The sequence below is a fragment of the Homo sapiens genome, chromosome 4, assembly GCF_000001405.40.
Source record: "Homo sapiens chromosome 4, GRCh38.p14 Primary Assembly".
Classification (NCBI taxonomy): Eukaryota; Metazoa; Chordata; class Mammalia; order Primates; family Hominidae; genus Homo; species Homo sapiens.
This window is the reverse complement of record NC_000004.12, coordinates 144,412,118-144,435,117: the sequence shown is the minus strand read 5'-3', so window position 1 is coordinate 144,435,117 and position 23,000 is coordinate 144,412,118. Positions and strand designations below refer to the sequence as shown.

The 23,000-nt window shown below is 35.3% G+C and overlaps 1 long non-coding RNA gene across 2 annotated transcripts in view; it reads left to right on the top strand.

Annotated features, from left to right (window-relative positions):
- The window catches only part of LOC105377462 (uncharacterized), a 360,687-nt gene that overhangs the window by 127,030 nt on the left and 210,657 nt on the right, over positions 1 to 23,000 (top strand). For both annotated transcript variants that reach the window (XR_939273.3, XR_939272.3), the window contains one exon: positions 19,140 to 19,215. This is a non-coding gene — a long non-coding RNA (uncharacterized LOC105377462). The remainder of the gene's footprint in view (positions 1 to 19,139; positions 19,216 to 23,000) is intronic.

Below are 23,000 nucleotides of genomic sequence, written 5' to 3'. Positions count from 1 at the left end.
CTCCCTGGCTTCAGCCCTCTTTCTAGGGGAGTGAATGGTTCTGTCTAACTGGCATTCCAGGCGCCACTGGGGTATTAAAAAAAACTCCTGTAGCTAGCTCAGTGTCTGCCCAGTCTCCCAGTTTCGTGCTTGAAACCCAGGGCCCTGGTGGTGTAGCCACTCGAGGGAATCTCCTGTTCTGCAGGTTGCAAAGACCATGGGAAAAGCCTAGTATCTGGGCCAGAATGTACCATTCCTCATGGCACAGTCCCTCAGAGCTTCCCTTGGCTAGGGGAAGGAGTTCCCTGACCCCTTGCACTTCCCACGTGAGGCAACGCCCCACCCTGCTTTGGCTTGCCCTCCATGGGCTGCACCCACTGTCTAACCAGTCCCAATATGATGAGCTAGGTACCTCAGTTGGAAATACAGAAATTACCTGACTTCTGCTTTGATCTAGTTGGGAGCTGCAGACTGGAGCTTTTCCTATTTGGTCATCTTGCCAGCCACCTCTCAGGTAGTTCTTTATAGCAGTGTGAGGTCAGACTAATACAGCACATATTCCTTTGATATGCTGATTTCTTTTCCTTTTGATAGATACCCAGTAGTGGGATTGTTGGATCATATGGTAGCTCTATTTTTAGTTTTTTTGAGAAATCTCCATACTGTTTTTCATAGTGGTTGTACTAATTTATATTCTTACCAATAGCGTATGAGAGTGCGCTTTTCTCTGCATCCTCACCAGCATCTTTTATTTTTTGTCTTTTAATAATACTCATTGTAACTGGGGTGAGATGATATCTCATTGTGGTTTTGATTTGCATTTAGCTGCCTTATTTTTAAAATGTCAAAAAGCTACCAATGTTGGGAGCATTAGGAGTTATAAAAGAGTCTGGATTGGTGACTATAAATCCTAAAATCTATGATAGTAACAAAAATCAAAGAAGCAGCATTTTTACTAAAATCATTAAAATTCAGTATATGAAAATTTATCTATAATTTGCAAAATTTATTTAGTGAACAGATAATTCCCCAGCACTGAGAAGAAATGGAAGCTTATATTTCTATTTCTTTCAAAATCCAGTTTGCAAAAGTAAGTTAACTTACTTATTTTCCATCAGAATTTTCTACCTGACTCTAAATACAGAAGTGGCATTTGATTGACAAAATATAAATACACTTATACAATGTTTAATAATTTATAAAAACTATGAAGATCTTATTAAACTAAAAGTTTTTGAAACAGAGAGAAGAGATCCATATATTAAGACTGTGCATATATCGAGGCTACATGGTGTGATGATGAAGAACACCTGCCATTGATTCAGATAAAGTTTTGTTTCCATGCTAATTGTGTTACTTTAAAGCAGTTTCTCAAGCCATCGAATCCCTGTTTTCTTATCTGTAAAATGGGAATGGTAAGTGCCTACTTGGAATGTAATTGAGATAATATACATGAAATGACACAGCTTGATAAATAGTGACTATTACTATAATTGTTTGCATATAAAGGGTCGTTGTGCATATAGGCTCTGTGTGTGCATATGTCTAGTCAATCAGTAGACAGTCATAAAAACATACTTATATTGAGCTATATTTTCTAGGTCAATATGTATCAAAGTAATTTATTTCTCAAAAACAAAGAGAGAATTGAAAACCAAAATGATAAGCAAGATAACTCTTTTAGGGGTTAAGGAGTAATAACATAGGATCATTTTTCATACCAAAATGAAAGAACATAAAAGAACATATCAAACATGTTTGATAAAAATCAAACATAAAAGAACATGACACACCAGGGCCTGGGAATGCAAAAACTTGAAACTCAGGCTTTCCTGTGTAAAATCCGGATACTCAAAGTGAAAAACTTAGCTATAAACTCCTTTCCATTGGCAGAAGAAGATGAGAAACTTGTTTGTTTCTGACTGTATTGTTGCTAGAAAAACGTCTCCTGAAAATTCATTCCCGTGGCTTACATCACAGTGGGCTCCGAGGTTCATATTACATTACCTGCATAATTTGTGCTCCTAAAGCAAAAGAATTAACGTTAAAACTAGTCCCAGGCCGAAGATGTTTCTAAAGTGCCTAGAAGAAGCAAATGCAAAATAACTCTAAAAGGACATACGCTTTACACAAGCGAAAAGAGATTCTGATTCCACTGACAATGAGCTCACAGTCCAAAATTATAAGATATATGAAGGAAATTTCATTACTATAGTCAGGAATTTGAGGATACATCAAACTGTGGAATTAGATCCTCAAAGGCTTCAGAAAATACAGTAAGTTGATAGTGTTTTCTAAAATAAGCATGTTTAAAACAAAATCATACAAGTAGGAAGCAAAAACAAAAAAAGACAAAGCAATATTTTTTAAAAAGAAAAGAAACCTGTAGTAAAGACTAAAAAAAGTCTAGAGATGAAAAAGATAATAATTGTTACAAAAATACAAAATGCATGGGTTAAGAGTATATTAAGAATAACAAGGAGAAAATTTATAAAATGAAAGATGGTTTAAAGAAATTTCTAAGAATCCACTACAGAGAGAAAAAGTAATAAAATAATAAAAAAGAGAGTTATGGACCTGGAAAAATGAATGCATACATATATCCATTAGCAGTATCATAGCAGGCTGGGAAGAAGCCCTCTCACACCAAAGACGCTATGTCATAAGGAGAATACTTGCCAGCCTACACACATCTTTGACTCCTTGCCAATACAGATCTACCTCAAATGGAGATAAGTAACAAAGAAAGGAAGCAGCACATATTCTAAAAAATATATTAAGAAAAATAGAATAAATAACCTGGTTAAAAACAAATGGCATATAAGAACACTTACCAGAAAAATGTTGCCAGTAATGATGGCAAAGTGGAAGCAGAATTAGGAGTAATATTTATTATTTAAACAGATATGAGGAATGGAGGATAGAACTGAGAGGTTCAATTCAAATAAAATGAAAATAAATAAATAGTTTAAAAGAATTAGTAAAGAAACTTTGTAGATATGGTAAAAAAAAGGCAAAGGAGATATAACATGCACACAATTGGTCACCTTGAAGAAAATAATTGCAAAGTTAATAGAAAAAGCTATTTAATGAGGTAGCTTAAGAAAATGATTCCAAAATAATAGGAAAACTTAAAATGCAGATTGAAAAGACACACTATATTTAAGTAACAATTATCACTGAACTTCAAAGATAAATTAGAAATTTGCTGAATATCAAGGCAAAAAGTTATAGCCACCTTTAATGGGAAATTTGTTTCAGATTTCCCCATGGCAAGTTTTATTCCTAGAACCCAGTGTAGAATGCCTATAATGTGTACAAAGAAAGGAAAATGTGACTCAATAATTTCTACTCATTCACTGTTGTTCAAGTAAAAGAAAACATAAACGCAGTTTGAAGGCATTAGAAGCCAGTTAATATAGTTCCTATGAGCCTTCCTTGGAAAAGCTACTAGAGTATAAGTTTAACTCAAGAGATATATATTTATTATAATTAAAGCAAATATGTGGAATGCTTCTGGCCATGATTTAAATGTTATACATCTTGAAAATGTACAAAAGGATAAGTAATAATAGGAGGGGAAGGGAGAAAGAAAGTGAAATGGTATAATTACAATGTTTTATAGTTGTGGATAAAACAGATTGTTTAAAATTGATTATTAAAGCATTAGAACTATAATTACTTTAAAGGTATAGGTAAAGAATAAGAAAAATCTAACGAATATATAAATAAGTACAAATACAAATATACAGACATAATATATTCAAGAGATGAAGGTGAGAGAAGAGAAAAGGGAACAAAGTAGAAATATAGTACTTTTATCATTGCTAAGCATTTGAAGTCACAGGTACTATGGAAATGGAGAATTATAGTTTTAGTTATGAAAGTAACAACTTGAAAGAAAATGCAAGCCTTCTGAATTGTCAAGAAACACATATGTACTACAGAACGAAGTGAAGATATAATAAAATATATTCAAAAGCAATACAGATATAAACATTATCTAACCTATGATGGCAGAACTAAAGATAAAACACATCTGTGATATCAATAATGCTCATCTATCTTTTAAAAAGACTCACAATGGATATCAAAGTAAGCCCAACGATATGCTCTTTATAAGACTAATGTCTAAAAACTGTTAAGATTTAAAGTAAAATGAATGACAAAGAACCAGACAAATATAAATTTTGGAAAAATTTATATATATATATTAAATTTATATATATATATTTCAAATTTATATATATTTTAAATAACAAAATTTAAAAAGTTGATTTCAGTGAAAAATCATTATGATGAAAAAGAACATAAACCACAATGAAGATATAATGGTTGTGACTATACATAACAAATAACATGGCAATATTTTTAAAGCAAAAACTACAGAAAATATAAAAAGTAATAAGCAAAAGTAGCATATATTTGAAGTATTAAATTGATGTCTCACACTCCATTACAAAATAACAAAAAAAGTACATGTAGAGGATAATTAAATAACAAAATCAACAAAGCAGATCTAGTTGATATAGTCTTTTCAGCCTCAATACTGAGTATGACCCTTTTCAAATGCCCACTAAATGATTAAAAGTAACCAAAGAGTAGGTCACAGAGTCAACTTGAATACATGATAAATCAAAAGTAGGTATGGTAGCGACAATATTCTCTTTCAATAGAACAAACTAAAAATATTGACAAAGGAAGAAACGCAAAGGTCTGGAAATTCTTAACTATGTTTTATTATTTTTAAAAATAAATTGTATATATTTAAGCTACACAATATGATGTTATAGGATACATATACAGTGAAATGTTTGCTATAGTGGAACAAATTAACATTCATCATCTCACATTTTCCCCCAGTTGCAAGAGTAGCCATAATCTACTCATTTAGCAAAGATCCTAAATTTAATACACTATTATTAACTATAGTCCCCATATTGTACATTGGATCTTTTCCTTTCTTTGTTTGGTTGATTTCATTTAGCATAATGTCCTCTAGATTCATTCATGTTGTGGCAAATGGCAGGGTCTCCTCCTTTTTTAAGGCTAAATAATATTCCATTTTATATATATCTGTAATAAATTGTGATATTACAATTTCTTTATCCACTTTTCCATTGATGGACACCTAGGTTATTTCACATTTTCACTATAGTGAATAGTACTGCATTGAACATAGAAGTACAGATATCTTTATGAGGTTGTGGTTTAATTTCCTTTGGGTATATAATCAGAAGACAGATTGCTGGATCTTATGGTATAAATATCCCTTAAGAAGAACCTGTCAGGTTAGAGAGGAAATCCAAGGGTAAAGATTGCAGATTATAAAATCTTAGAAAATAAAGATAATAAAAGAAAGCATTGCAAATTAAATCACATTGGATATAAGTAAAAGAGTGTCCAAAGTAAAATTTATAAACTTAAAATTTACATTAGTAAATGATTACTAATAAAAAGCACCCAAATCAATATAGTAGAAAAAGAAATGTAAAATGCAATTAAATAATACATAAAAAGAATGTTAAAGATAAGTAAAGATAAGAATAAATAAAGACACAAATGGAATAAAAATAAAAATAAGAAAGAAATTAATGGAGTAGAAAGCAGAAAAAAATGTAAGCATAAATAAATGAAGTGCTGATTCTTTGGGGGCAAAAAACATAAAGTAGATAAACCATTATTAACAAACTAATCAAGAAAAAGGAAGAGAAAATGCAAGAACACAAAATAAGACAATAATGAGAAAATAATCACACAAATATATGAAGTAAAGAACTTGGCCAGGCGCAGTGGCTCACGCCTGTAACCCCAGCACTTTGGGAGGCCGAGGTGGGCGGATCACGAGGTCAGGAGATCGAGACCATCCTGGCTAACACGGTGAAACTCCGTCTCTACTAAAAAATACATAAAATTAGCCGGGCGTGGTGGCAGGCGACTGTAGTCTCAGCTACTCGGGAGGCTGAGGCAGGAGAATGGAGTGAACCCAGGAGGTGTAGCTTGCAGTGAGCCGAGATCGTGCCACTGCACTCCAGCCTGGGCGACAGAGCGAGACTCCGTCTCAAAAAGAAGAAAACAAAAAACAAACAAAAGAAAACTTGAAGTGACTTTGCTTGGCTCTATGCAAATAAATTTGCAAAACAAAATGAAATAACGTTGATAAGAAAACATGAAAAACTGATAGAAAAATAACCAAACAAAAAAGTCCAGAATAACTTATAATGATTGTTGAAAGAATTCTAAGTAAAATATTAGTAAACAGTAGCCTTCAGAACATCAAAAAGATTAACAAATAAAAATAATTTCTTTTATTTTAAAAATGTAAGGGTAATTCAACATTTAAAATAAGTATTAAGAATCAAAAAGGGAAAAATCATACGATCATTTTCATAGATGGCCAAAATATTGCTGTTAATTCTTGATTAAATAAGAAAAAGCTTCTTCTTGAGTATGAAATATTTTGGAATTTAAAATAATAAGGAATATATAATTGGTCACATTATGGAGATTATTATTATATACAGCTATAGATTAAATGAAAATATTATCTAAAGAAATGCAAACTGTTTCTTGTGGCTTGGAATTAATTGCTCTGTCATCAAACACTGAATTTTTATCGGTCTATATTTCAATCAAGCCAGGTAGAATTGGAAATTATGTATTCTGCACTTCCATGTTGGATGGCTCAAAAATACGGTTTTAGTCATGATGGAATTACTGGTGATGAAAAATTATTTGAAATGTCGATATAACATTATTTCATGAAATGTGATCACAGAGTAAAGCAGAAATCCTAATATATGGCTTCAATTTTATACTTAATAATGGTTTTGTATTGAATTAAATTTATTCAAAATTACATGGTGAGTAAAATGTATAATTTTGTTTCAACATTACTTCTTTTAATTGTTTTGCTTTTAAAATTACCTTTTTAAAGTGGAGTTTTGGGCATTGGCAGAGACTTTCCATGTAGTCTCAAGAAACTACAGGTGTAATTAAATTAATTTATGGTAACTGAACTTTTTCCTCTAAGTAGGAATCTTAGAAAAAAAATGCATTTCTTTTATGCTGTAAGAATCATTTTAATGGACTCATTTTTTATTCTCATTCTTTTCGTTTATTGATAAATTCTCATCTTTAATGTGACTATATACAAAGCAAAAACAATGCAAGGATGGAAAAAATTCTTCCTAGTGGACTTTCAGTTCCATTCAAAAATAAAGTTCAATCGTAAACTTTATAAAATAAATCCATGTCTGAATCTATCCTCTTTTAATTTAGAGCTCAATATAACAAAACAGAAGTTATATGTGTCCTAATTTAGGCTTCTGTGTCTGGTTTACACTGACTGGGCAGTAAAAGGAGCACTAGAATTGATGTAAGAAGCCTTGGAAAAGTAACTGTTAAGAGTCTTATTCTTCTTCCTGAAAATGTTTGGGCAAGTATTTTAATCCTTATAAATCTAAATTCTGTTATCTGAAAAACAAGGATTAGATGAGTATGATGGTTAGTTTTTTACGTCAACTTGGCTAGGCTATAGCACCCAGTTATTCAATCAAACTTTAGTCTAGAGTTTGCTGTGAAGGTGTTTTTTAGACGTGGTTATCATATACAATCAGTTGACTTTAAAGAAGATTATCAGTAATGTGGGTGGGACTTATCTAATCAGTTCAAGGCCTTAGAAGCAAAAATAGAGGTTTCCTAGAGAAGAAGAAATTTTGTTTCAGGACTGCAGCATCAATTCTTGCCTGAGTTACCAGCCTGCCAGCCTGCCAGCTTGCCAGCCTGCCCTATGTATTTTGGAATTCCCAGCCCTCACAATTGCATCATTGTATAAGCTAATTCACATTAAAAGTTTCTTGAGGCCGGGTGCAGTGGCTCATGCCTGTAATCCCAGCACTTTGGGAGGCCAAGGTGGGCGGATCACCTGAGGTCAGTAGTTCGAGACCAGCCTGACCAACATGGAGAAACCCCATTTGTACTAAAAATACAAAATTAGCCGGGCGTGGTGGCACATGCTTGTAATCCCAGCTACTCGGGAGGCTGAGGCAGGAGAATCGCTTGAACCCAGGAGGCGGAGGTTGTGGTGAGCCGAGATTGTGCCATTGCACTCCAGCCTGAGCAACAAGAGCAAAACGCCATCTCAAAAAAAAAAAAAGTCTCATCATACATACGTACACACATCTCTCTCTCTATATATATACCTATCTGCATACAAATGTGTCTTACATATAGTCCAGGATATTCATGAAAGACTGTTCTTGCTGATCCTATTACCTGTAATAGTCTTTCCCAGGTGCCTACATCATAATCTTTTCCTTCAGGTCTTTCTTCTCATTGAGACCTTCCCTGAACACCCTATTTATAATTGTGGCCATTCAGCAGGCTTTTCTCTCTTCCTTTTTTTTTTCTTTTTGTCTAGAACACTTATTACTCTCTGACAAACTATTTATTTCACTTACTATTTAAAAAAATCTGTCTTATTCTAGTAGAATGAAAGCTCTATGACCCATTAAACAGTCCCTCTGAATGAGTTTCTCCAGTCTTTTCCATTTGAGTTTGTCCTTCAGAGTCCTCAGTGTAAATCTAAGACCTAACTCTGACTTACTTACATAAAACACTTAAATGCTCAGGACTGCCCAGTAGAACTTTCTGTGCTGATGGGAATATTCCATAATCTGCACTCTCCATGGTAGCCCTAAACTTCACATGACTTTTTTTTTTTTTTTTTTTGCAACGGCATCTCACTCTGTCCCCCAGGCTGGAGTGCAGTGGCGCCATATCGGCTCACTGCAATCTCTGCCTCCCAGGTTCAACTGATTCTCCTGCCTCAGCCTCCTGAGTAGCTCGGACTACAGGCGCCCGCTGCCACGCCCAGCTAATTGTTTGTATTTTTAGTAGAGATGTGGTTTCACCGTGTCGCCCAGGCTGGTCTCAAACCCCTGAGCTCAGGCAATTGCCTGCCTCAGCCTCCCAAAGTGCTAAGATTACAGGCGTGAGCCACAGCACCCGGCCCACATGACTATTGAGCACATAAGATGTGACTAGTGCACCTCAGGAACTAAAATTTTATCCTTTAAAATACTACTTAATTTAAATTGAACCAGCTATCTGTAGCTAGTGGTAGAGTGTGTTGGACAGCACAGACCTTTGTAATAAACTCCAGTTCCTCTATGTTGATTGCTTCCTGATTTCTTCAACATAATTTCTCTTTGCCTACAATTCACACTTTATAAAACAGAAAAACTGCAATATGTGAAGTGTTCCAAACACATTCTATGAGTTCTCAATTTGATATATTTGGTGATGTGGTCCTCACAATCTTCTGTGCTCCAAGCTCACCTCTCTGTTGCCTGGCTAACTCCTCATTATTAACAATTCAACTCAGGACTCATTCCCCCAGGGTCATCCCAGCTGGATCAGGTGCTCTTCCTGTCTTATAATTGACAGCACATAGATATGCAGTTGTACTTTTAGTATTGGACTGTATTCATCTGTTTATGTCTCTGTCTCCCCTTCCAGATGCTGGCCTCCTTGAAATCAGGCTCTATTCCTGTCTATATTTTGAGTTCCTAGCTCAGTGCCTGGATCATTATTAGTGCTCAATAAATAACTGTTGAATAAATGAAGGAAAGAAGAAAAGCACTGGACCAAGGACAGTGTTAGAATGCCTTGGCCTGAGTCACATGCCAATTTCTATAACCCTTTTTGCTCTTTTTGCTCCTATTAATAACAAGAGCTAGGTAAGTATAAGACTCCCTGTCATAGGGTTGGCTTCAACTCCATTGTAAGTAATCTCCTTATAGAGAAACAAAAAGAGGTGAGACCACAGTATTAAATAATGTCCTGTTGGATGCTGGAGATGCCTGGCCTGTGTTCTGTTTCTCTGTGTTCATATAGGAGCAAAAAAAACAAAAAGGGTTGTAGAAATTGGCATGCGAGTTAGGCCAAGGCATTCTCACATAGCACCTGGTCCAGTGCTTTTCTTCCTTCCTTTATTTATTCAACAAATATTTATTGAGCACTAACATTGAGCCAGGCACTGAGCTAGGAATGCAAAATATAGAGAGGAATAGGGCCTGACTTTAAGAGGCAAGCATCTAGAAGGGGAGACAGAGACATAAACAGATGAATACTGTCCAATAGTAACCACAGCCACAGATCTATATGCTGTCAATTACAAGACAGGAAGAGCACCTGATCCAGCTGGGATGGCCTCAGGGGAATAAGTCTTGAGTTGGATTGTTAATAATGAGGAGTTAGCCAGTCATAATATCATTAGCCACACAAAAGGCAGCTTTTGAAGCGTGTTTATAATCATTTATTAATTTCCTCCCTCACTGTTTCTCACCATCCTTGAAGGTCTTGTCTGGGAAAGAAGAAATCTGAGTACTGACCACAGCAGAATCACTCTGCCAGATTTGCCTTTTCAGAGATTGTAGCTATCACCTATGATCCATCTGTGGCCATGGATAGTTCTGAGGGTGATATGACTCTAGCTGGAAGAAAAATATCTTTCTCCTGAATGAGTTATTTCTGATTCTTCAAATGACACAGAATAGCACAAATTTATAATATAAGAAATTTTGCGGCTAATTCTTGTTTCTTACTAGGTTAGGCCTTTATAGTGGATAGTCCTGATGTACCTAAAAAACACATCTATAGTGTATTCAAAGAGTTAAAAGGGGGCAAGGAAGGATCTAGGGAGAGGTGGGTAAGGGGAAAAGGCAATAAATCTCAGGCCCATGGGATTTGGACAACAAACTGCACTGGCAAATCTAACAACTGCCAGCTCTGGAATGTGTCAGCATAATATCATACTAACTGTTACCTAGTAGGTTGTCAGAATTCTAAGAAATGTGAAGATCAAAAATGTTACAACTGGGAGGTATTCCAAATGGTTTTCAATGTATATCTGCTGAAACAAGGAGGCTATTAAAATGCCCTTTAAAAAGTCCCATTAAAGTAACAATCCAATAAAAGGAGTGTATAATCTGAGAGCTTTGAGGCCAACAGCAAGTGAGTGCCAACATAGCTTACTGACTTTATTGGAGGGTTTTTTTTAATCTTTTGTTTTCCTCTTTGTGTGCTGAGCAGTGACTTTTAGTGTTGCTTCCCCAGTAAGCAATTTTATGTAACCATCTCTACCATCAAAAAAACTGTAACATGTATGTGTATCTGCATACAGAAATACAAAAGTATGACACATGGAAATTTTTGCAGAAAATGGAGGTAATCTGGAGATAAGCAGGTTATAAGGAAAAGTAAAATCTTAATTCACTGACCCATTGGATATCAATATTATGCCCCAGAAAATAATCAATTTCAAGTTCTGGCAGAAACATTGCAGCCTCACTGAAAAGAAAACAAAAAAAAAAACTACACAAGCTTTTGATTATCAAACTATTTAAATTGAACGGTATGATGTATGAATAGCTGAGAAAAAATTGGGGGTCTCTCGATTTTTAGAATATTAAAAAATATCTTATCCAAGTTTTGTCTGATCTCATTAACTAAGTTCTCTTTTGAATTCATTGAGTAGAAATTTGTTGTGTTACTTTAAATCTTTAGTACCTTCTGAAGGAACTAAACTTGTATTTCCTATATACTTTTGCCATCTTGCCATGATGGGAAATACTATCAAGCACTTTTATTTCCACCTTTTTACCACTATGTTATTCAAAAGTTTTATCTCCAATCTGACAGCCTACATGTTTGAAATAGGGAGCTCTTTCCCTGGTTTCTTCACCCATTGTTCTTTCATTATGAAAACATAACTTTGCTATACAATCATTCATTCATTTTCCACTCATTTATGTAATAAATTGATGACTTGCTATGTGCCAGACCCTTTATTCAGCAATGGAGATCCAACAGGGAATAAGACAGAATTGAAAGTTTTCCTAGCTTTAAGCCTAAAATTGGCAATGGCTCCATGTTTTTTAGAAAAAGAATTCAAACTCTTTTGATTAAATAATGAGTATCCCTTATAGTTCTAATTTTACCTCTCACTTTTTTTCCAACATAAATTCCCTACTCTTTTACTTCCAGTCATATTTCATGCTTATTCTCATTTTTACGTGTTTTCTAACTTTGTTTCCTCTGTGGAGATGCAAAAAATTCCTCCCATCTCCATTTGAATTCAATCTACTTTTTAAGGGCAAGCCCTCTCTCTCCCATGGTTTTTGCTGGACTAGGCCAGCCAGATTTAATCTCTCTCTCCTATTTAACATATCCATTTAGCTGAGTAAAATTCCTCTCAAGCTGAATAAATCCTATACCATAACTATTGATCACCTGATTTTCCTTCTCAGTAAATAGCACTGGCATCCATCTAGATGCTTCAGCTAAACCTAGGAAGTATCCTTAATTCTCTTCTTTGCATCAGCACGTCCTATCAACTTTGCTTCCAAAATATATCTCAAACTTAACCTCCATCTCATTCTCCATTCTTACTTGAGACAAGTTACCATTGTCTCCCCTGCTTAGGGTCAAAGTCTCTCCACCACTGCTTCTCCTTTCATTCTTACTTGGGGAATTGTGTACAGACAGTTCTGTGTCTTTGCAGCAGCTAAAATGATTTCTTTAAAAAATATTTCAGACCCTGTAACTTTTCTTGCTTAAAACCTTCCAATGTCTCTCCATGACACTTAGAAGAAAATCCTGGCCTAACTGGCCTTCCCTTTCTCTCTCCTTTGTTGACCCAGTCACTTGATCCTTTCCTCTGCTCCTCAGTCACAGCAAGGTTGTTACTGCCTTTGTCACTTCTGCCTTAGGGTCTTTGAACTAAGTCTACTCTCCATCAGAATGCTGCTTTTCCTCAGTCTTCCTATAGGCTGGCTCCTTGTTGCACAGCTGAAATGTCACCTCCATAGAGACAACTTTGCTTGCCCCAAACCTACCTCCCTTTTTAATAATCATCATAGAAACTGTTACCATGAGACATGTTCTTATTAATTTGTTTACTTTTATCCGTTATCATTTGTTTATTATCCCTTTATCCCCAACTAGAATAGAAACTCTGTAAGAAAAGAGACTGATTTTTCATCAGCACTGAAGCAAGACCTGACTCATGACACTCATGACAAATGAGCAAATGAATGAGTCTGTATAGCACACGTCTGAATGATGAATAAATTGGTTTTCATCATTTTCTAATTGTGTGTCCCATGTATTTTTACTGTTTCCTTAACAACATGAATTTAAGCTTTTCAATCCAAGAGACTGTGCTTTGATTTTGTGTTCAAGATGCCTACAACAAAGTTTGATAATAAGTATTGCGTAAACACATCCTCAATCTCTATTTAAAAATAGCTTGTTTAGATTACCAAATGATCCAGTAATCCAGCTTCTAGGTATGAATCCAAAGGAAATGAAATCAGTGTTGAAGAGATATCTGCATTCCCATGTTCAATGCAGCCCCATTCACAGTAGCCAAGATATGGAAACAAGCTGCATTCATCAATGACTGAATGAATAAAGATAATGTGATGTGTGTATGTATGCTTGTGTTCAGCCTTAAAAATAGTGGAATTCTGCTGATTGCAACAACATGAATGAGCATGGAGGGTAATATGCTAAGTGGAATAAGTCAGACACAGAGAGACAAATACTGTATGATCTCATTTATAGGTGAAATCTTAAAAAGTCTAATTCATAGAAAAAGAGAATAGAATGGTTGTTACCAGGGGCTGGAAGATGGGAGAAAATGGTGGTCAGATGGTCCAAACTTTTAGCTGTAAGATGAATAAGTTCTGGGGCTCTAATGTACAGTATGGTGACTATAGCTAACAATACTGTATTGTTTACTTGACATCTGCTAAGAGAGTATATCTTAAGTGTCTTCACCACACATACACCAAATAAATAAATAAATAAATAAATAAATAAATAAATAAATAAACCAGGGTAACTACGTGTGATGATGGACACGTCGACTAATTTAAAATATATATATATATATGTATAAAACACAATGTTACATATTTCAAATCATCACATCGCACACCTTGAATATATACAATTTTTATTTGTCAATTAAAACCTGATAAAAATTGTTTGATCAAATGTGACTAAAGGTTAGGTATTTGAGGAACCTATCACAGGCCTCTCAACTATTCTGGTTGCCCTTGTTAGGATACATATTACTGGACTCTCACCTTCTCTCCAGGTTAGTGTGCATAGTCCAATAGAGAAACTGATAAGGAAATAACTATTCATCCTGCATTTCTTTTCAGGTAACGTGCACATTAATGACTTTAAGAATAAAATGTGTCATCTAGGAAGTTCAGAGTGATTTCATCTTACTGTTTTTGGAATAGGTTTGCCAAACTAACGCAGGAACAGAAAACCAAACACTGCATGTTCTCACTTATAAGTGGGAGCTGAACACCAAGGACACATGGATACCGGGAGGGGAACAACACACACTGGGGCCTGTCAGGGGAAGGTGGGGGTGAGGAGAGCATTAGAAAAAATAGCTAATGCATGCCGGGCTTAACACCTAGGTGATGGGTTGATAGGTGCAGCAAACCACCATGGCACACGTTTACCTATGTAACAAACCTGCACATCCTGCACATGTACTCTGGAACTTAAAAAATAAAAATAATAAAAATAAAAAAACAGGTTTACCAGATTTTGCAAGTGAAAATTCAGAATACCCAATTAAAACTGAATTTCAGATAAACAATGAATAATTTTTATATAAGCATGCCCATACAATATTTTTATATAAGCATGCCCATACAATATTTTCTTATCCTAAAAAAGTTTGTTATTTATCTAAAATTCAAATGTGGCCAGGCATCTTGTATTTTGCAGTTTTAATAGACTTACCAGATATTTGTTATATGTTAGCTATGTGCTAGTGATAATTTAAACATCTTTGGAACTAGTATTTACTCTTTCAGGTCATTAGCGTGCTCCTGACAAACGATTGCCTTGTAGATCTGCAATATGTGATGTTAAAGAATAATTGTTGCTTCTAGCACTTTTAGACTAAAAACCAGGACTAACAGAAACTAATAAACAGTTTATGTGTGGCTGCTTTGACAGTATAAGCCATTATTGGGTACTCTTTCCCAGAATCACTACCCTTATAGTAACCTTTAGGCCTGGGGGCAAGGGTGACCTATCCACTCCAGTTTGGGACTTCAGCTTGTGGGCTCACTTACACTGAAGTCCGAAATCAGAGTAAATAACACTCCAGGGTAATTTCTTTCAGAGAACATTTGGTCCTTTTCTTTATTTTGTCACTTCAATTATGATACTTATGCTTCAGTGGTGTTCATGTTGGTCATGTTTTTCTGAAACTGAAAATAAATCAAATTCAGTGTCAGCATTTTTCCCTCACATTAAAATGTCTGTGGAGGCCAAAGAAAAATCTGCTCCAGGAAGCACAGATTTTGTAATATCCTTTGTTCAATAGAAAATCAGACTTAAGAAATACACCAACCCTCTAAAATTCCCACTGAGAGATTGTATGATTCGTAATGTTCCACGAGCTTTTCTGTCCTGACCGCTGCTGCCCACTGGCACTCCTGAAACTCACATGAGCTGTTAAAGTCAAATGCGCTCACTTATGAGATTTTGACAACTGGAGAAACATCAGCGGCAAAATACATGCTTTACTTCCATGTCCCATGGAAACATTGGGTTAGACCTTGAGGATTGAGAATTGGAAGACATTTCCTTCAAACAACCTCAAGCTTCCTGTTTATTGTCACAAGGAAATAATGGGAACCTCCAGAAAAGTATGGAGTTCAGTTATGGACATCCCTTGTTAAAGCAAATGCTGAGTATTTCAGGTGCAGTCTGGGATTCTAGTTCTTTCCAATTTGGCTACTGTTGCTCTTCCTTTAGAAAAGATGTTATTGTGACCTGAGGTTGGTGAAAATATCTTTGCACATTGATCTAATTTTTGAGATAGCTGTCACAATGGGAGTGACATGGGAGGCAAGAAGAAATAGATGATGGTATTTCTCCAGTTTCAGGTGAAATCATAGTTCTGTAATTCTATTTCATTAATGCTGTTTTCCATTTCATGAATGATGATTTTATTTTATTTTATTTGTTGATTTGGTTTGAGTATATCACAGTGTTTTAAGTATTTCATTAATATATGTGGCAAATATTTCCTTAGAAACATTTGATTTCCTTCGAAACCTTTAAGCATTTGGTTTTAAAAGCCATTCTGTTTTCTTTATTGTCTGCCTCCATCCTCTACCCCATTATAATTTTGCGGACATATTTGTATTTCTAATCATCTCTCCCATCTACACAGCCAATTAAGCCTCATTAAAGTCAGTCATTAATTCATAAAATATTCATTAAATACTTATCAGGTGCAAGGTACTCTGCCAATATGATACTTCCAGAAACAAGGGTTCCAGCATAGCTGCAAAGAACTGCATTTGGTGTTATAGGAAATACAAAGATCAGCCATATTACCCCAACTCAGAAATGGGAGGGATTAATTCCATTATTGTTAAATCAAAAGTAAATCTTAATCTACTTTCTCTACCATTGTGGAAAAATCTCTGAAACAAATCTAAAATTTTTTTCTACTTACAGTGTATCCTCACACTAGTCAACTATTCTGAACCTTAGTTTCCTCATCTATGAAATGGGAAGGGGACACATCTAGAGTCCAGCTTGATTATTCCAAAAACCAAATAAGTTTTATATTATGAGTAGTACTGAAGAGTGGCAGTTCAGGACAATGAATATAAGTCTGAGGATTGACTGGGAAAGTAATCATCAAACACTTTACAATACCTCTGGTGCATTCATATGCTGTGTGTTTTAGTTTTCCATTGCTGCATAACAAATTACCCCAAACTTAGTGACATAAAACAAATATAAATCCATTATCTCACAGTTTTCGTGGGCCAAGAGTCTATACACAGGTCAACTGGGTCCTCTGCTCATGGCCTCATCAGGCTGAAATCAAGGGGTCAGCCAGGGGTGTGGTCTAATCTCAGGATTTTCTTCCAAGCTCATTCAAGTGATTGGAAGACCTCAGTGCCTTGCAGCTGTAGGACTCATGTCCACGTTTTCTTGCAGGCTGTCAGCCAGAGGTCACTCTCAGTTCTTTGTGGGCACCCATCATTCCTTGCAGATGGCCCTCTCCATAACATAGTAATTTCCTCCTACTATGGCCAGAAATAGAAACCTTTGTACTTTGAATCACTTCTTTCAGGAAGGATGCAGCCTGATATTGTTTGGATCTGTGTCCCCACCAAATCTCAGGTTGAATTATAATCCCCAGTGTTGGAAGTGGGACCTGGAGGAAGATGATTGGATCATGGGGGTGGACTTCTCATTAATAGCTTAACACCATCCCCTTGGTGCTGTTCTCATGATAGTGGGTGAGTTATCGTGAGATCTGGTTGTTTAACAGTGTATAGCACCTCCCACCTCTCTCTCTTCCTCCTGCTCCGGCCATGTGAGGTACTGGCTCCCCCTTTGCCTTCCACCATGACTGTAAGTTTCCCGGGGGCTTCCTAGAATCAGAAGCCATTATGTTTCTTGTACAACCTGCAGAACCATGAGCCAATTAAACCTCTATTCTTCATTAATTACCCATTCTCATAGCAATGCTAGAAGGGACTAATACGCAACCCCTTTTCAGGGCTCACCTGAGTAGGTCACCTAATTAGGTCAATTAACTGAAGTTCAACTGATTTGGGGCCTTAGTTAACTCAGTGTAATCTTTTCACCTTTGCTATAGAAGGTAGCCTATAAATTATAGGAGTGAAATTCATCATATTCAAAGTCTTGTTCTCACTCAAGAAATGGGGTGTACACAGGGTGTATCTACCTGAGGTGGGAATTTCAAAATTAGGCCCATAACACTGCAAAATAATAGATGCTAGGTATGAAGAACCCCACAGAAAATGGAGAATTCTAAGATGAAAGATCGGGCTGCTTTTTAGCACCTGTGAATGAGAAAGCAGCTTCATGTCTTAAATCAGCTGAAATACATAGAGAACAAATTTTCACTTGGATAAAGTGGAATAGATGAGAAAGATAAAGTCAGAGAATGAAATGAGTTCAGGAAGATATTCTAATCTCTTACAGTAATGAGCTTTATTATCAACTAGCCATTTAAAACAAAATCACTCAATCCATTTCACACAAGAATAAAAATGGATCGACAGAGACTCAGACTTCTCCAATACAATCTCTCAAGCCTCTAGTTACTAACACTGTGTCTTTTATTTCTAGTACCATTTTAAATATTTTTCATAAGCAAGAAACTAAATTCACTGCTTCAGACAATAGTGTCTACTTATAAACACTCTGAACAAATTTAAAGAATGTAAAACATACAGGTATTTTTGAGGAAAGGGTTTAGTTTGGGAAAGAAATATGCAAAGACACAGTTGGTTAGTGCCTGAGTCGGCCAACAAATGTTTCCACTTTGGCAAAATTGATTTGATAATTTATTCAGGAATCCTGACTAGTGAAGAAAGTGATGAACACATATTTTCCTTCAGGTAAATCCAAATCTTCTCTCTCTCTTTTTTGCCTACATCTCTCTGTGGCTTCTCTGCCTCTTTCATTTTTCTTTGGAGGTCAAGGTCAGGAAGGGAGAAAGAATGAGGCAGCAGTCTGAGACTTTACAATAAATAAAGAGATAAATGAGGCTACTCTTTTCCCCAGAGCACTGTACAAGAAACTAGTAGCTTCACAGAAAAACAGTAGCTGCCTTGCATCTTGGGTGGCTTTGCCTTGGTGATACATCACATTTATGATGGTACTTGCTGTAGTTCATTAACTTGCCTATCCCATTATATTTGGTCACAATGGGACGGTACTCAAAACAACATGCCTGAAATTGAAGACAGATGGCCAAGTAAGGGACTAAAGAGTTTGTTATAATCATTTACTATTTCCTTCTTTATTCTGTTTTTCTCTCCATTTGTTATGAGTTCCATGTAAGGACATTTACACATTTTTAAAAGTGACATTTCTTTGGTAAGTAAACAACAAAAGTCATGAGGCAGGCAAGGACAAGTTGATAGTCTGCTATACCATCAGTTGGAAGCAATATTTGCCTTTGGCAATGCTATTTATCTCTACATTTGCACAGGTTTATGATTGTAGAAAGCTAAAACAAAAGGAATTTTACTTTTTTTGTTCTGTCTCTGCAGGAGGTTTGTGCAGCTAAAATATCTGACTCCTAAAATGGAGTTTCCTGAAATTATTCCTTACTCATAGTGTAATGAGGTAAGTCCACAAATCATGTCCATTCAAAGTAAAAGTATATGACACAATGTTCTGACTTTTAACAAATGGCATTCATACCAACTTTGATCTGACTGCCTGGGATTTATAAAGTATACCAGATCTATTTCTTTTTAGGCTTTGTATTAATCTCAATTCCTTAGAGTCCATGCAAAGGTAGAAATTAATCCTTGGTGAAGCTTCCTTTTTCTAAATACACATACATATACCTCCATATATTTCTCCCTAATGGGAAGACTTCCCAATATAGGCTTATTGACTATTTTTTAAAACTTATTATTTTTATTGTGGTAAAATACACATAACATAAAATGTACCATCTTAACCATTTTTAAGTTTGCAGTTCAGTGGTATACCTCCATATATTTTAAAGATTATTTTCAAAATTTTTAATCAGCACGAGAACTTCCAATATTAAAACAGTTCTTGGGAAACCATTCTAAGGACTTGCATGCAGATGAGTGTACCCAAGTTTGGCAAAACTATTCATGTGATAATATTAGAGAGACAAACTGATTTAGAAATATGAGTGGAAAGGGCAAAATAATAAATAATATTCAGAAGGCATTTTATATGCCTGGTTCTAAGAACAAAGTCTGCCATTTCCTGCATGGTTTTATACTGGGTTTTGTTGAAGAGATTGTATGTATACAGGGAAGGCAATTTATTTAGGTATGTAGATATAAAATTATATTCATTTTGTTTTCTAAATAAGAAAGTGATTTAAAATTTTAACAAGAACTTTATAATATTGATAGAATGAATGTAGATGTGAAAATGCCAGAGAGGAATAGCCACACAGAGTAAGGGTAAACAGCGAATTTTCTTTCTGTTTACATTTCAATTCCCAAAGATAATTGTTTAGTCAAGATGTTTAGCTTTGATTGTGGGTCATTAGGGGTCACTAATAAAAGACTCTGTTTAGATTTTACAAGTTTGTTTGAATCTGTATGCATTTTTTCCAGGAATCCAAACTACAATAATACTTGTACATTGACTCTAATGATTACGGCATGAAGTGTCATTGAAAATATTGGTCACATTTAGAATCTGTAGATACACAAATACAACTGAAAAATTATTTAACATTGATAGCAGATATTTGCTGTATGCATTTGAAAAAAAAAGAACTGGTGTATTTTTACATTCAGGCATTTCGTAAGTCCCTTCTCATACGGGAATGTACGTGTGGTACATTGACCTACCAGGGTATATGATGTGGTTCAATGAATATAGGGTTTGCTTGTTTTTGTCAGCTTTTATTATTTTTTATTAAGCAAGTAATATATACTTATTTTTTAAAAAGTATGTAATATATATTAAATTTTTTAATCAACCATAATCTCATTACACTAAGATTCAGATTGTTAGTTAAAATTCTCATGTAAAATCTTCAGAGGGTGTTAAAGCTTTTCTTCAGTAAATCACATTTGTGTTCTTTAGCTTGTTTTTAATAAGAAATAAAATTTTTAAAAGCATCTTAATTGTCCAGCCACATGGAATCCAGTAATGGTGTGTTCTGTTATGTGTAAATAATATGTTTTTATATGCATATGATTTATTTAAATGGTATCGGACTTGCATGTATTGTTTTGAGCTTGCCATTTCAATTAATACTATATTATGAATTGCTCTTTATATTGACGTATACAAATACACACTAACATTTAAGATGGACAGCATCTCATTAAATAGATGTATCAAAATATGTTTAACCAATTCTTCATCATTAGATATTGAGGATATTTCCTTTTTATTTTTTCTGTTACAAACAAGTGAAAATGTAAAAATGTGACTCCCTGAAGAAAGCTTTGATAATTGTGATATGAGTGCTAACTTCCATGGACTGTAATCAGAGAATCTCACAAAGAGGCTGGATGAGAGGAAGAAGAGGAAAATAGCACCATTATGTGCCAAGCATTGCATTAGGCACTGTATAAACTATTTTTAATCCTCGGCACTATCATCATTTTATAGATGTATCAACCACAGTTCAATAGAGGTTAAGGAATTTCCCATTGTTGCCAAGATAATCATTGGCAGAACTACCTGAAAATGTTGTACTGAGATTCACAAAGTCATCATTTCTTTTGGTTGATGCATGTACCCATAGCTGACCACCCACTTAACCAAGGTATTACCATATAGCTCACAGTTCATACAATGGCTTTGAAAGTTTTTATATAAATTAAACTTTGAAGATTAGATGCTATTTTACTCTGGGCATGGTGGCTCACACCTGTAATCCCAGGACTTTGGGAGGCCGAGGTGGGCGGATCATCTGAGGTCAAGGGTTGGAGATCAGCCTGGCCAATATGGTGAAACCCCATCTTACTAAAAATACAAAAATTAGCCAGGCGTGGTGGCACACGCCTGTGATCCCAGATCCTCTGGAGTCTGAGGCACAAGAATCACTTGAACTCAGTAGACGGAGGTTGGAGTGAGTTGACATCGGGCCACTTCTCTCCAGCCTGGACAACAGAGCAAGACTCCATCTCAAAGAAAAAAAAAGATTAAAAGCTACTTTAAATAATATAGTATTTATATATGTGTATGTAATTATATAAAACATATAATTATGTAACAGGGTACAGAACACTTTAGGAGTACTTTCAGTGGCTCCTCCTTTGTAAGGTCAGCATTCTTGTGCATGTAAGTAATCAATTCTTTTCTATTTTTCAAATTCATTTCATCCTAGCACCCATAAGTTTGTTTTAAGTTGGTGCACATTTGCCAGTCTTACTCTATTGTTAATAATATCTGTGTTTCACATAATTATTAAATCTGGAAATCTCCTTGGAGTTTCGGAAATAAAATTTCACGATAGAAAGCATAGTTCAGAAGCAGAGAGGTCATAGACGAATGCTGTGTTTGTGCCTGGAGAGGGAGACCTGATTCCTGGTTCTGATGTAGTCACAGATTAGCTGCAACTTCGAGGGAAGTTTAATTGATCTGTCTGTACCCATTTTCCGCCTGTGAAGTAAAAGAATCCACAGTATTGCTGTGGGCAAAGAAAAAGGGTCAAGATAGAGAAGTGATATTGAAAGAACTATTTTGTGATAGGCATTGCCCTAGGTGCTTTATATATTTTATATTTTTTCCAATACTTACAGTGTAGATAATGGATGTTGCTTGAATATAATGGAATCAGAAAGATGCTGTTAAATCGATGACTTAGTAAAGACAGAAAGTGAACAAGCACAATATCTTAACAGAAAAAGGGGTCAGGATCAGCTATCTAATGTTGAAAAGAGTGGGAAGGACCAAAGGTTGAATTCTAGAGAGATTATTAGTTGACCTTGGTAGCTGACTCAAAAACTTACTTGTTATAGTTCTCAGGACTACTTCAATTGTCTCAGATGGAAGGAGATCAAGGAACTACCACATGGGTTTAGATATGATGAACAGTAGGAGAATCTTGAGTGGCAGTTGGATAAGTATGTGGAATCCAATGATAACTTTGTGAAGATATGGCAGACCTGTTCATGTGTAAATGTGGCTTGAAAGAGCCTGGGGAAAAGGACAGGGATAAGAGATTAATAACAAAAGGCCATGTGTGGGATAATGGCTAAAAGAGCAGATAGAATTTAGTGATGACTTTGTGTAAAAAGTAAAAGCCAACATGCTTGAACAAAGCTAAGAAAGATTCTGAGAGGGATAGATAGATTAATCAAGAGTATAAGATGGGGAAGGAGTTTGAGGCAAAGGTTATCAGTAACTGAGAAGAGATGGGGTCAAGACAGGGGAAAAGGTTATGCACTTGGAGG